The sequence below is a fragment of the Homo sapiens genome, chromosome 18 (assembly GCF_000001405.40).
Source record: "Homo sapiens chromosome 18, GRCh38.p14 Primary Assembly".
Taxonomy (NCBI): domain Eukaryota; kingdom Metazoa; phylum Chordata; class Mammalia; order Primates; family Hominidae; genus Homo; species Homo sapiens.
Window position 1 is genome coordinate 35032444 of NC_000018.10, and position 16321 is coordinate 35048764.

Genomic DNA, 16321 nt, shown 5'->3' on the forward strand with positions numbered 1-16321 from the left:
AATTTCTCAAGTCCAAGGCAATGCAAAAATCCCTGTTCTAGATGAACCATATGTGTTGGAGAAGTGGAGGGATGATGATTTCTGTCAATACAGAATTATTTGTACTCTCTGGCCTAAGTTCTAAGAGAAACATGATTGTGCTATAAGCTAGGGACTCGAAATTAAAATTCGAGTTAATGCCAGGGTTCAGTCTTCCTCAATTGCACCTGTGTGCTGGGACCTCTTCCTGGGTTTTTTTTTGTTTTGTTTTTTTGTTTATTTTTGGCTCCCTGTTCTCATGCTTCCAGCTCTGTATCCTCTGGGTCCATTTTAGAAATCCAGCTCTCCAAACAGGCACTTTAAACATTTGTTTGTTTGTTTGTTTGTTTTTTATTTTTGGTGGATCTAGACCTCAAGAGGGGCCTGAAAGTAGGATCAATTCATCTGATGCCTAACAGTTGGTCATTAATTAACATATCCTTCCTGTATTGCTGGGAGCTTTTTAGTACAGATAGTTGCTGATTCCCATTAGTTGCAGATACGTTAGATACACCCTTGATTTAGTATATCTCTTCCTGGAATATCTTGCTTCAGTCATAAAATTCATGTTTTTATGAAAAATTGCAGTGGTCACCAAAAAAGAGAATTTTAGACCAATATCCTTGATGAACATTGATGCAAAAATCCTCAATAAAATACTGGCAAACTGAATCCAGCAGCACATCAAAAAGCTTATCCACCATGATCAAGTGGGCTTCATTCCTGGGATGCAAGGCTGGTTCAATATACGCAAATCAATAAATGTAATCTAGCATATAAACAGAACCAAAGACAAAAACCACATGATTATCTCAACAGATGCAGAAAAGGCCTTTGACAAAATTCAACAACCTTCATGCTAAAAACTCTCAATAAATTAGGTATTGATGGGACGTATCTCAAAATAATAAGAGCTATCTATGACAAACCCACAGCCAATATCATACTGAATGGGCAAAAACTGGAAGCATTCCCTTTGAAAACTGGCACAAGACAGGGATGCCCTCTCTCACCACTCCTATTCAACATAGTGTTGGAAGTTCTGGCCAGGGCAATTAGGCAGGAGAAGGAAATAAAGGGTATTCAAATTAGGAAAAGAGGAAGTCAAATTGTCCCTGTTTGCAGATGACATGATTGTATATCTAGAAAACCCCATTGTCTCAGCCCAAAATCTCCTTAAGCTGATAAGCAACTTCAGCAAAGTCTCAGGATACAAAATCAATGTACAAAAATCACAAGCATTCTTATACACTAATAACAGACAAACAGAGAGCCAAATTATGAGTGAACTCCCATTCACAATTGCTTCAAAGAGAATAAAATACCTAGGAATCCAACTTACAAGGGATGTGAAGGACCTCTTCAAGGAGAACTACAAACCACTGCTCAAGGAAATAAAAGAGGATACAAACAAATGGAAGAACATTCCATGCTCATGGGTAGGAAGAATCAATATCGTGAAAATGGCCATACTGCCCAAGGTAATTTACAGATTCAATGCCATCCCCATCAAGCTACCAATGACTTTCTTCACAGAATTGGAAAAAACTACTTTAAAGTTCATATGGAACCAAAAAAGAGCCCACATCACCAAGTCAATCCTAAGCAAAAGAACAAAGCTGGAGGCATCATGCTACCTGACTTCAAACTATACTACAAGGCTACAGTAACCAAAACAGCATGGTACTGGTACCAAAACAGAGATATAGATCAATGGAACAGAACAGAGCCCTCAGAAATAACGCCACATATCTACAACTATCTGATCTTTGACAACCCTGAGAAAAACAAGCAATGGGGAAAGGATACCCTATTTAATAAATGGTGCTGGGAAAACTGGCTAGCCATCCTATGTAGAAAGCTGAAACTGGATCCCTTCCTTACACCTTATACAAAAATTAATTCAAGATGGATTAAAGACTTAAACGTTAGAAACCATAAAAACCCTAGAAGAAAACCTAGGCATTACCATTCAGGACATAGGCATGGGCAAGGACTTCATGTCTAAAACACCAAAAGCAATGGCAACAAAAGCCAAAATTGACAAATGGAATCTAATTAAACTAAAGAGCTTCTGCACAGCAAAAGAAACTAGCATCAGAGTGAACAGGCAACCTACAAAATGGGAGAAAATTTTCGCAACCTATTCATCTGACAAAGGGCTAATATCCAGAATCTACAATGAACTCAAACAAATTTACAAGAAAAAAACAAACAACCCCATCAAAAAGTGGGCAAAGGACATGAACAGACACTTCTCAAAAGAAGACATTTATGCAGCCAAAAGGCACATGAAAAAATGCTCACCATCACTGGCCATCACAGAAATGCAAATCAAAACCACAATGAGATACCATCTCACGCCAGTTAGAATGGCAATCATTAAAAAGTCAGGAAACAACAGGTGCTGGAGAGGATGTGGAGAAATAGGAACACTTTTACCCTGTTGGTGGGACTGTAAACTAGTTCAACCATTGTGGAAGTCAGTGTGGTGATTCCTCAGGGATCTAGAACTAGAAATACCATTTGACCCAGCCATCCCATTACTGGGTATATACCCAAAGGACTATAAATCATGCTGCTATAAAGACACATGCACACGTATGTTTATTGCGGCACTATTCACTATAGCAAAGACTTGGAACCAACCCAAATGTCCAACAATGATAGACTGGATTAAGAAAATGTGGCACATATACACCATGGAATACTATGCAGCCATAAAAAATGATGAGCTCATGTCCTTTGTAGGGACATGGATGAAATTGGAAATCATCATTCTCAGTAAACTATTGCAAGGACAAAAAACCAAACACCGCATGTTCTCACTCGTAGGTGGGAATTGAACAATGAGAACACATGGACAAAGGAGGGGGAACATCACACTCTGGGGACGGTTGTGGGGTGGGGGGAGAGGGGAGGGATAGCATTAGGAGATATACCTAATGCTAAATGACGAGTTAATGGGTGCAGCACACCAGCATGACACATGTATACATATGTAACTAACCTGCACATTGTGCACATGTACCCTAAAACTTAAAGTATAATAAAAATAAAAAAAAATTGCAGTGCCTCCTACCTGTTAAAAGATTTCATTATTTTCTTCAGTAGTTATTGATGTGTCTGACCTGAAACCCAGCCTCTTAAAAATATCTTTAAGAACATCTTATCAAATCTAGTAAACATATCTCTTTCCTTATCTGATTCATACTCTCTGTGACATTTGACCTTAGAGACCTCTCCCTCCTTTGTGAGACCTGCTTCTCCTATGGGCCCACTGAAATCACTCCTTCCTGTGATTTGCCCTACTAGGTAAAACCCTTCACAGTCTCTTTTTGCAGGTTTCTCTTTTATCATCAGCCTTTAAAGAGTTTCATCTCGGGTCTTCTCTTTCCCCCTGAATGAGAGCGCTCACAGCTGTAATGACCACCTGTTACGTAACTTCCTCCAAATAATATGTGTCTCCAAGTCAAACACACCTCATCACATTAAGACCTATATATTCCCTTATTCAACAAATACTTAGTGAACACCCATACTACATGCTAGTATTTACCACTAGCATGTTCTAGAGGTACTTCTCTATGTCCAAAACACATTATGAGAAACTTTATCGCAAAAGAACAATTTAATCTGTATTCCTTAGCTTGATAAATGGTACTATTATCTACTTGGCCACTCAAGCCATACACTTGGGATTCATTTGAGATGTCTCTTCCTCCTTCATTACCCACTCTTAACTCCCACCGACGATTGCATCCACATCCAATTAGTCACCAAATCCTGAGTTATACCCCATGAATTTTACGACCCCTTGCCTCTGTTTAGTTTAGGTCTTCAAAATAAGTCAAAGAGTGATGAAGACCTAAACTGCTTCTTCAGTATATCCACCATACTACTGTCAACATCAGACTTTTTTGTTATGGTGCAAGTGTCACCGTAAATTTCCCTTCCTATGGCACTTTGTGGTTCCAGGTCACCTTCAGAATTAAGATCAAGCTCCTTAGCTTGGCCATAAGACCTTTCTGCACCTTCATCCTTGCCCCATCTCCTACCACTGTGTTTGCCGTCCATACTAAACAGCCTGCTGTTTCCGAGAGATGTTATAACCTTCCCTACCTCTGTATGTAGGAATAGTTGCATGAAAAGCCCTTTATCTTCCCTCTACACTGCCATTCCTCTTTTAAATGACAATATAGCCTAATGGATAAGCATGTGAACTTTTGGGCTAAGAAAACCTAATATCCAATCCTGAATGAGTTGCTTCTCTTTGAGCTTAATGTTTTCTCATTAGGGTTGTTGTGAGAATCAAATCAAATGATATTTGTTGAATAAATGAATTGATTATATATTCATTGAGTGCCTACTATCTGCCAGGTCCTGTTCTAGGAACTGCAGATAGAGCGGTGAACAAAACTCCTGAAGCCCTTGCTCTAAGGGGTCTCACATTCTGTCTGGTGCATAGAAAATGAACTATAAAGAAAAAGGTTACTATTATTATTACTCATCCAAGATTTTAGGTGTACTTTTCGGACCTACTTCCAAGTTTCCATTCTGACTTAGGTGCTCACCTTCGATGGTCCCATCCCACCCTATGTTGCACCATTGCTGTAGCACTTGTGTTGTAATCATAATTGACAATTATTTTTACCCTTGCTCACCTACAACACTGAGAGTTCCTTGAAGTGAAAGCCTGAGGCTTTTTTTTTTTTACCAGCTCCTAGTATACAAGGAAGCCAGTTTTAAGTTTCAAATGGATGAATGAATGTTTTAGGATATGCCTAACATGTTACTTAAAAATTACATTTACCACTAAAGAGCATTTGCTGTATAGCCACTGGGTTAAGTGCTTTAAATACATTATATAATTTAATCTCCATCTCCACAGCAGCACTATGGAGAAACCAGCATTATTACCCTACTTTATCGATGAGGAAACTAAATGTTAGAGATACAAAGTAACTTGCCAAGGTCATAGAACCTGCATCTGGTGAAGTCAATCCCAGGCCCCAGGCCCCCTCTTTAATGCTGATGCTTGGTGACAGGAGTTATTTTCCAATAGGCAGTTGGAGGTGAAGGGCAATGGTCAGCACATGCTTTATTTTAGATATGCCAGCACATGCTTTATTTTAGATATGCCTGTGTACATAAGACAAAACCTAAATCCACAGTCATACGTACAAACACATTTTAGCTTATTTTTTTTTTCCCTTAGGATGACCTGGGTAATTCTCCCTACCCTGCTGGGTAGTGGGGAACCGGAAATAGTCTTAAACTTGCTAGTTCACAGTATTACAGCCTCTTCCATTTTAGACCATCTTTGGATGGATGGCTTCATCTCTTGGGTGACTATTCGATCTCTATATATCTTTCCTTTCCCCAGCCCCTCTGCAAGATGGTGTCTGTAGGAATATGTGAGTGGGGCTTATAGGAGCACAACAGGGTTGGGAGAGTAGGGGCCTCCTGGTCTCATGCTGGTTCTTGGGCTTGTAATATCTGAGTCTGCTGAGGAGTCACTGGTCTGATCTCATCCATGGGCACTCTGCTGGTGGTCTATGCTGACCCCTACAGCTGTAGTATCTCTCTCTCTACAGATGTGGCCCTTGCCCCTGTGTAGATTCCTCAGAGCTAGCTATTTCTCCTATTTGGGCTCTGCCTTAAATGTTCCATCCTGTGGACCCACTTAAATATCACTTCACCTCTGCTGTAAAGACACTCCCTCCTGACACCCTCTACCACCACCACCATCACAAACTCAGCCCTCTGATAGCAACATCTCCTCCACTTCCTGATTATCCCCTTACAGGACGGACAGAAACTTCTAGATATCTTCTACATGGCATGCTAGCAAAAGAAGAGTCTGAGAGTGAAATTTAAGCCAACCCTCTCCTTAACCATACTAAGCTACTGATTTTAGTCTTTACTGTGATGAAGCTACACCTTGCTTGGTGTTGGGGAGACCCTCTTTATGGCAGTGGTTTCCTAGAGTATCAAATGGGAAATGATGCAAAAGGAAGTCCCTTAGGTTTAGGCTTTGCCTTCAGCCTATCCAATGTCTCCCTTCTGGGATTTGAGCCTGGAGACCTGAAGCTGGGAGGCCCTTCCTTGCTCTGCCTTCATCCATTCTTTCTACCCTCACTTGGGGCTGGAAAGAGTGAATTCTTCCCTCATCCTTCCTGAATTTTCTGTACTTTTCCTACATCGTACCATTCCGCTTCCCAAAGTGGAATTTGCCCTCCCTTTTCCCTAGGGCTCAGCTGGAAAATGGCTTCCAGGTAACCTGATTTATGAGGAGAGGAATGAAAACACATCTGTTTAATATTTTCAAATTATTACCCCTGTTACCCCTGCATCTCAGAGGGTAATCACTGGTCTCTGGAGTTCTGTGGGTCCCTTTATAGTAGTGTGGCTCAGAGCAGTCTTAGAGGAAGATTTACGCGGCCCTTGGGGCCCTTCACCTGACTCACAGCCCCTCCCTTTTTAGACCATCAGCCCAAATTCTTGGCCATCATCCCATCCCTTCCTTCATGAGCAGACTAGAAACAAAGTGGGTGTGTTCTCTCCACAAAATTAGTTGGTATGATCAATGAACTATGCATTCAAATTCTGACAAATTTAGTCCCCACAATGACACAAATTATGTTTTACATACTACTTAAATATGGGATCATGGAAAAGTGATCTGTACTAAAGAACCCAGATTGAGAACATACTCTGAGGACATTAAATATTTGATTTGTAGACTGTGCCTTTCAATTTCAGACTGTCCCCCCAAAAAGGGGAAGTTTTGTGAAAGGAAGCAAATTAGTAAGGAAATTGACAGCAGCAGGTCAAGTAACAGAAACAGTAAGAGGAAGCATGGGTCTTTGCAAGAATGACTACACTCTCATGCCCCTTTAGCTCATAGTGCAATGTGAAGCTTGGTGTGTATCTTTGATACTTAGATATTCATCTGTGTACCTTGTAAGTCTTAGGTCAGAATTGGATCTGATTGTATAAGAAAAAAAATCTTATGTAAAGTGAGATGTGGACGAAGGAATCAACTTGTGCACTGTGGACTAACTGGAGAAGCAAAAGATAAAATTATTAAAATAATAGCCCAAGAGGAAAGTATAAAATAGGAAGGAAAATAAGTAGGGCCCCTTGTTTGAGATTATCCTTACCATCTGGGTTGTAAAACATTTGATTCTAATTCCAGAAACTTGATACCAGAAATAACTTATTACCAGGGACATATGCTGAAGAATTGTCAGGAATGACAAAGTGTTTACTTGTTTTTAATATCTGTATCACAAAATGATAAAGCTGATAAACCATACAGTGATGTGAAGGAGTGAGTCATAGCTTAATACTTTATGACACATATATTTATGCTGTATCTTTTACACCCCAATTCTTCCCTTTTCACCCTATAAAAGGTCAGAGACCACTGCTGATAAGCAAAGAATCCTTCAAAATCTCTCCTGGCTGGGCGTGGTGGCTCATGCCTGTAATCCTAGCACTTTGGGGCGGGTGGACTGCCTGAGCTCAGGAGTTCAAGACCAGCCTGAGCAACTCGGTGAAACCCTGTCTCTACTAAAATACAAAAATTAGCTGGGTGTGGCGGCGTGCGCCTGTTATCCCACCTACTCAGGAGGCTGAGGCAGGAGAATTACTAGAACCCAGGAGGCGGAGGTTGCAGTGAGCTGAGATTGCGCCACTGCACTCCAGCCTGGGTGACAGAGCGAGACTCTGCCTCTAAAAAATAATAATAAAAAAAAAATCTCTCCTCTCTGGAGGACAGTACTGAACATATGCAGGGTCTTTTCAGTTTATAATCTAATCCGTAGACTGCACAGTGCTAGCAATTCTGTTCACAGTTATCTTTTCACAACAGTCATCTTGGAAGTACTTGATTCTTACCTTGATTTATAATATTTATTGAGCTCACATTACAGATCATTACTGTCCAGTCACATTGATAAAACCATGTCACTTGGAAGCTCCAGTTCACCACTCCTAGCTGTGTGACCTTAAGCAGTTTACTTAATCTTACTAGTTTACTCATCTTTAAAATGGGAATAATAATAGTATCTGTCACATAGCCAATATATTTGAAAGCGGTATTGCAAGGATATAGAACAGCTTGAATGTTAAGCACTTTCAAATACTAAGTGAGGTGATCACTTTTGTAATTCAAATGGAAATAGAATAAATGTCAATGAATTAATGATCTGTATCAGGAGGCAGCATAAAGAATTTGAATTGGAGGGTTTTGGGTAACTGGTAAAATGGTGGTTATCTTTTTTTAAAAGAAAAACCCTCTTTGGGGATTCCTTTGTACAGATGATCTCTTAATTTGCCATCTTTAATCCTCACATTATTAAAGGCTACATTGATTAGAAGGAAATACAGCTTCCTTGTAGGTTTTTAGCTTTTTGGCTTGTTTTTGGGGAGATGGTTGCTGCTATTTGGAGAAAGGGAGAAAGGCAGAAATTTTAACCTTAGTCTGATACCTTTTCTACAAGCTGGCCACCAGGTCCTTTTTAGGTTTTTCTGAAACCTGACCAAGTTTAATTGTCATGGCATAAAAACTTGGTATTGAAGGAGTTAAAGGGTCTCCCACACCCCTTTGCATGAATCGTTCTTTTGTGTACACAGCTGCAGTGGCAGCACGGGTCGGAAAGGAAATGGTTAGAGGAAGAGCTGGTTTTCAGACAAGGCGAGTCTGCGAGGGGGGCTGCAGGGTGGCCTGGGGTTTTACATGCCAGATGTAGGCCTGCCCCGGTGCCTGCCTGGAGCTGCTGGCGTGGTCACGCCGCGACCCTGTGCGAATTGAGGCGAGGTGATGAGTTAGCGGGTTGCCATGGCAACAGGCTGGCCACGTGACCAGGGTGCTGCTGCCGGCGCTCTGACGTCAGCTGCCAGAGGGCGGGGCCGCAGGAGGGCGGGGCGCGAGCGAGAGCTGGGAGAAGGCAGTGAGCGAGCAGGCGGCAGGCACGGTCCGTGCGGAGCAGGCGAGCGAGCGGGAAGACGCAGCCACCTTCCTCACCAGCCAGCCCACAGCGGTTTGTTCCCCTTCTCGGGAGTGCGCCAATGCCTGGGCCGACCCAAACCCTGTCCCCAAATGGCGAGAACAACAACGACATCATCCAGGATAATAACGGGACCATCATTCCTTTCCGGAAGCACACAGTGCGCGGGGAGCGTTCCTACAGGTAATGGGGCTGGCACGAGAGCAGCGCCGGGGACCGCCGTGAGGGCGCGCGGAAATCCAGCCCGTTATATAATGGAGCAGACACTGCCTGCGACCCCTGCTGCAGGCATGCATTTGTGAAGGCGGTTGTGATTATTTGGTATCTGTTTCCATGTGTCATGTTGGGTTTGCATTGAGGCTCCGCGACTGCAGATGGAAAGCATTTTGTGAATAGGTTTGCTGCCTTCGAGGGGTCTCCCTCCATCTCTTTCCTTCCACACTGATAAAAATGCATGCTGTTTTCCCCCGCTGTCCAAAGGGAGACAGGCAGTAGCACTTCCTTTCCTCCTTCCCTTTTAGATTTTAAAGGAGCCATTAGGTAGCAGTGCCAAAAGGCAGAAAACGGGAGGGTGGGGAGAAAAACGTTTGCGCTTAACCTGGAGAGTGTGCAGGAAAGATGGAATCCTCTAGATTAAGCTGCAGTCTGTGATGTTAAACCGCCAGATTGATGGAGCTTTGTAAGAATTCTGCTCGCTGATTGGTGCAGGGATTGACAGCAGAGGTGATAGTGTCAGACATTCACCAAAATTTTCTCCATAGAACCCTAGGTTTATTAGAAAGAGACTGGACTGCAAAGGACTTGAAAAAAACTGGGCGCTGTTATGCATTTTCTAAGGAGTTTATGGCCACCGCTTGGGTGGGGGAGCCTTTCCTTCTTATTTACAGTAGGAAGGTGATTCCTGGTCTTTTGCTGAGGTCTGTTTTGAGGATGGGACTGATCTTGGTCATTGTATTGTGAGCCTTTTGATTAATGAGTTGGCCTGTACGGTTGGCATCATTTTTACATTAACATATCTGGCAATATGTTCCAGTAGATAAGCTCATTAAAATTGTTTGCATTGTTTGATAAGGATAACAATGTAATGGAGAATGCAGCTAGAGTCTTATGCAGCTCAAGGCCAGACTTGAAGGGAGACTGATAGCTTCGGTCATATTTCCTCTGAAGTTCTTTTGTACTGGGGTAGTTATTTTTAAATGTTACCTTGATAAACGCTAACAATGCTTTTGCTTTGAGGCAGAGCACACATACCTCTAAAGCGCATCCTCTCAGCTGATGAGCAACAGGAAATAACTCTTTTTTTCCTTTTTAGAGCCGTCATCTAAACATTCAGATGGTATTATGGGTAGAATATTGTGTGTGTAAATGTTGCATATCACAAAATAGAACCAGAAAGTACCCTACTTCCTTTCTCTTTGGCCAAAGAAATGCAGTATTTGTTGACTCAAAAAAAAAAAAATTATAAGCAACCTTTGCCCTGTCATCTCTGGCAGTTACATAAATACTTGGAGTTAATTTTGGCTGTGCCCATGAGGTCACCAAAATCTCATGCCTTATGGTTCCAACTAATGTGTTGATATGGCATTCTTACAGATTTCAAGTGCTTGTTATTCACTTAATGTAAATCAAAATTCCTCCACAACTTCTGGAGATATCCTTTCAGAGACCCTGTGATTGGAAATTTGGGCCTCTTCTCCTCTTACTCCTCCACCTTTTTCCTCTGTGACCATCCCAAAGCCTAAAAATAGAATTTAAAAACAAAAAACTTGAAGTGATTTTAAATCTCACTAGTTTGAACTTTTTTTGTAGAAAATAAATTTGAAGCCTTCATTTTCTAAATGATTTAATCCCTGCTGTGTAGGTAGCAGTTGCTTTTAAGACAGAATTCGAATTTTACCCCACGGGCCAAAGGAAGTTGCCTGGTTGGGTTTTATTACTCATGTAAACTAACTTGAAACGGCAGTGGAAAATCATTTGACAGAAAGGTTAAATGTTACGTTTTGGTGACAGATTATTGCTTTAAAATGAAATTTTATTTACCTCTTTAATTCAACCCAGGCTATTATTTGCGTTTCCTAAATTATTTGCAGTTTGCTTTCTGAGTCCCTATAATGGCATTCAAAATTATGTAAAAAACAAAACTGAATTTTAATAAAGATCTTACTGAACAAATTCTTAAGTCCCTAAGAGCATCACTGCATTTGTATTTGATATAATAGGATTACTGGATGATATAGCGAGAGGTGTCATAGGCTAAATGAAGAAGGAAGCCTCTCAAATTGCATTTGTCTTGTGTTATACAAAGGGTGCACATGGAGACAGACACATTCGATGTTTTTCTTCTTCTGTTTTTCTTTCAAAGTGGATGTCCAGTGTAATAATTACCACTTATTTTTTTGGAGGGGCATAGGAAAAGGAAAAATGTGACACATTTTTCTATCCAGGAAGCATTCCATCATTATTTTGGCATCCCAAGACTGGAATATTATAGCCATTTAATTGCTGAGGAAACTTGGAAGGCAATTTGAAAGCGAAGAGTAGAGATTTAACCAAATAAAAGTTTTGCCTTGGCTATAGGTTTGGTATGGCCCTCAACAATGAAGATGTGCCTGGAAGTTCTGGGTGGAGTCCCTTATGGTGGGGTTGGGGTTGAGTGAGCCCAGTTCCCTGGCAAGATCAGAGGGAATTCTTTCCCTGGATCCTTTATTGACTTCTAGGTAGGCCCCCGAACAGGTCTTTATCTTAGGCTTTCTTTTCTTTTCTTTTTTTGCGACAGAATTTTGCTCTTGTTGCCCAGGCTGGCATGTAATGGCGCAATCTCTGCTCACTGCAACCTCCGCCTCCCGGGTTCAAGAGATTCTCCTGCCTCAGCCTCACGAGTAGCTGGGATTACAGGCATGCGCCACCACGCCCAGCTAATTTTGTATTTTTAGTAGAGATGGGGTTTCACCATGTTGGTCAGGCTGGTCTGTAACTCCTGGCCTCAAGTGATCCACCTGCCTTGGCCTCCCAAAGTGCTGGGATTACAGGCGTGCCCCACTGCACCCAGCCTTAGGCTTTATTTTCTACCTTTGCCTGTTGTATATAAAAATATCTAGCCCCCGTTGTTAGAGAGATATTGTGAGGCTAAACTCCATATTTAAACCAAGTAATTTCCTAAAAGAGCTATGTAACATAAGAATACTGTTGTTACTGAAAAAGGGCTCTTGCAGGGGCTCTTGGACAAGAACATGTCTCACCTTGCTGGCAGCACAGGTGAGAAGAGGAGGGAACACCTAGAGGATAGGGTGGCTCTCCTGAGCATTGTTAATGGGCAAGCAGTCACTCTTTGGAGAAGGAGACATTACTGTTATAGCATTTGCACCATATTGTTCATAAGTATGTCAAATTTGGTTCCTGACCCACATCTCTTAACCCAGGTATCTGATAGTGTAAACAAAGCCCATTTTCACAGCATGGAACAGAGTGGGTGGCAGCTCATTATTGAAACTAGCTTGCACCTTGATTAGAAAAGCAAGCTTCCTTTAGAAAATTACCCCTGGATTAGTAATTCCAATTGAAAAGAGTAAGTACAAAAATGGCTTAGCAGACTCATAGAGACATGTTTTCACTCCTGTGTGATTTCCTTCTCAGCCTCAGCTTCCTCACTGTGTTTATGAATGCTAGAAATCTATGTATTTTAAGACCTGCTTAAAAAATAAATGTGGTGTGGGCCATCCGAGGTGACACTGTTTAATTCACAGAGCGAATGAGTCGTGCTCTGGATCTCCCTGGAGAGGATGCTCCCCATAGCTCTGTTTCATGCAGATGCTAGTTGGAAATGAGATTTATTAACTGGCTCTCTGCCCACTGCATCTTTGTTTGTATACTCCAGGCTTTTAAGAATGAATGTATAAGTCTAGAGGACTATTTCCACATGGGTGTTTTGAGCATGCGACTACAGTAGCACATGTTTCTGAATACTTTAAAAAAAAAAATTACTTGGCCCCAGGAAATGGATTGCAGAGAAAAGCAAAACTAAAATTTAAGCCTAAAGCATTGGCCATAACATCCAGCTTTGCCAGTTTTAAAAAACATGCTGTTGTTAAGGAAAACAAAGAGAAATATCGTAATATTGTGCATGTGTGTGTGTTTTTTTGTGCACGTGTGTGTATAAAAGAGTTGTGAAAGTGTGTTCCATTCAATAGAGGCTATTGTAACATGGCTCACTTTTATCAGAACATAGGCTTCACATCACATTCCCCAAAACAGCAGTTATAGATTGCAAAAGTCTACGTTCATGTCTTTATTATGTATTTGTTAGTATCATCTAGGTTTAATACTGTCAAAGGAGGTTTTCCAAAAATAAAGATTTTTGTCCTTACTATTTTTCTTAGTGTTTGTAAAAATCAGAAGATTACTTGATGCTTTAGTACATGCCCAACTCTGGAACTTCTTTTACGGATTTTCAGAGCTTCTGTTAATGGAATGGTCTTCCGGGTGCTCTTGCTTTGGGGAGAGGCTCACTCCTGCTCTGTAGCTGGTATCTGTTGACAGTGCATTATCTTAGAGCAGTGCTGTGAGATTGTCCTCTGGAATTCAGAAGGTTGATTTCCTTATGCAGCATCTTTTCTTTATTTACAGGGACCTCTTGAAGCTGCAGTGAATAATTCTAGATTAATTGGAAGGGGAAATTTGGGACTAATTTAAATATTCTGTTTGGTTTAGAGAATTAATTAATTTTACAAATATTTGAAAGTCTGCTCTGGCCAAGGTCTGTGCTAGATGCCCCTTGAAGGATCTTGAGTCCTAGTAAAGTCCGATGGAAAACCGCTCATTTTGTAAAAGACTTACAGTGTTGGTATTTTGCTTAGTCTGATAGCGAAAGTGGTTTGCATTTCCTGAACCCCCAGTGACCCAAAGGGGGAAAAAAAGTTTCTCTGAAGTCCAGTGTGCTGTAGGAAGCTAAAAGACACTGAGAGAAACCAGAAATTTTGCTGAAAAGAATGTAGGCTTTAGGATCAGGCAGAATTTTCACTGGCCTGGCCAGGTGTGTTGGGCAGTGGTAGAAAATAAAAGCATTGAAAAGCAGGCGGGGTAGTTGGAACTTGGAAATAAGAAGCTACTGAAAGTTTATTGACTGAAGATAGTGTAATGAAAACAGATGCCTACTGCAGTGGATCTTCAGTTTTGAAATGAGAGCTAAAAGGAAAACGGGATCCCAATGCACCACTGTGTGGGTCTAGAATCACTAGAAAATACTTAATGCCATGCGAGAGCTTGAGCCCTCTAATGTGCAGAGATCAGGACTAGGTAGATGTTCTCTGGCTCAGGATGTCTTTCCTTGAGTAGAAGCAATGAATGCAGCTTTGTTCCATAATGAGACTGGTACTTAGCCCAGACAGTGGCTTTTATATTTGCAGATGCCCACTTCATAGCTATCAGTCTAACTTTTAGGAGTGGCAAGTGTGGAGAGCTGCCACTATTCTGATCTTCCCAAACAATGAACCAGGTTTCTGGTTCATTATGAAGCATCTTCCCTTGGCATTTAATGATGTAAAAAGTTCCGATGTGGCTGATGAAACTGCTCAGGACACTCCCTGTGACTTTGGGGCCAATTCCTCTGACAGTTAGAAGGTTATCACCTTGGTGGCAGACTCCAGAGTGGATGGAGTTTACCCTAAATAGTGTGTGTGTGTTTACTTCTTATTTTAGTCAATTTCACTTTAAAGGACAAATTGATTTTCTTCTCTCCTGTGAGAAGTATCTTTTTTCTACAGTGAATTAAGTTAGAATATATATCTAAGAACAGTTTTATTCTTCCTGACTTCAGGCCATCTTTCAGCTAGCTGCCTCTGTAATACTACATTGAGTATGTCAAACTTAGCCAATATCTGAAGCACTATTCCAACAGCCCTTTTTCTTTCTAACACTCCACACACATCCCATTGGTATCATACAAACCTTGTTTCTTAGCTCATTTTAAAATTCCGATTGTTTATCTTAGTGTTTCTGGCCCTTGGTCTTTATTATTAGATTGAGAGAATTCTCTCAAAGTGGAAACCTACAATTCACATAGGCAAGAAATTATGCAACATTTACCTTATAGCATAAATCAAAGAAATTTCTCCTAAATATGTTTTTATAAAATGCCTCCCCAAAGATGATCATTTACTTTAATGAAAATAAATCATTAGCAAGGTAAAGACTGAACAGAGTTTTATAGGCCACCAATAAATAATTTCTTAGTAGGTTACTTAAAAAAAAAAAAAAAACACTGTGTTTTCAGTGTCAAATCTCCCCAAGTGAATTAAGATTTTACTCACTTGAACCAGGACAGAGTTTCTTAAAGAATTACTGTCTTTTCTAAGGGAGCAGAAGTTTGTGATAAATACATGAAATGATCAAGTTGACAGCTTTGAGTGATGGTGTCCTCTAATGCTTATCTAGTTAAGAAAATATGGCAAAAACTCAAACTTTCTGTGATTTCTAGGCCTCTCTTTGTTCCAGCAGGTAAAATGACCATGCTGGAAGAATCTGATTTTAGCAATGACTTTGGAACAGAAAGACAACATGGCAAGAGGTTTAATTGGCTTACAGTTCTGCAGGCTGTATAGGAAGCTGGCACCAGCATCTGCTCAGCTTCTGGGGAGGCCTCAGGGAGCTTTCACTCATGGTGGAAGGCGAAGCGGGAGCAGGCATGTCTCATGGCCAGAGCAGAAGCAAGAGAGAGGGAGTGGAGGGGGAGGTGCCACACACTTTTAGGCAACCAGCTCATGTGAGAAGTCACTCAGTGTCATGAGGACAGCATCGAGCTATGAGGGACCCGACCCCATGACCCAAACACCTCCTACCAGGCCCCACCTCCAACACTGGGGATTTTAATTCAACACAAGATTTAGAGGGGACAACATCCAAACTATATCATATATTTATATAGTATTAACACATATACTATATATGTGTGTGTGTGTGTATTTATACATATGTACACTATAGAAAGTATATATACACATACATATATACTTTTAGAAAGTATAATTATATATGTGTTACATATAGTATTAACACATATACTACATATACTATATTCACACATATATAGTAGTAACATATATGTATTATATATGTGTGTATGTATACTATATACACATAGTATTTATAGTATTAACACATATACTATATGTGTATATGTGTTTATAGTATATGTATTAATACTATACGTACACTATACTATATATACTATTATATATAGTGTATATATAGTATATGTGTTAATACTATAACACAATGGTGAGAACTGGGCA

General features: G+C 40.7%; 1 protein-coding gene across 5 annotated transcripts in view, besides 1 other annotated feature; it reads left to right on the plus strand.

Annotated features, from left to right (window-relative positions):
* MAPRE2 (microtubule associated protein RP/EB family member 2) overlaps positions 1-16321 on the plus strand; it is a 166444-nt gene that overhangs the window by 55417 nt on the left and 94706 nt on the right. For 2 of the 5 annotated variants that reach the window (NM_014268.4, NM_001256420.2), the window contains exon 1: positions 8970-9218. The exons of 2 other annotated variants lie outside the window; for them this stretch is intronic. In NM_014268.4, the coding sequence (NP_055083.1) occupies positions 9097-9218 (122 nt within the window). In that variant the 5' untranslated portion in view covers positions 8970-9096. Of the gene's footprint in view, positions 1-8969; positions 9324-16321 lie in introns of those variants that run through there. One more of the 5 variants, NR_046177.2, reaches the window with a different exon arrangement.
* Positions 8930-9079: an enhancer, noted in NCBI's record as "active region_13218". NCBI's record gives its function as "activates an Ori minimal core promoter by ATAC-STARR-seq in GM12878 lymphoblastoid cells {active_cell/tissue: GM12878}" and the evidence as "EXISTENCE:reporter gene assay evidence [ECO:0000049][PMID:35858748]".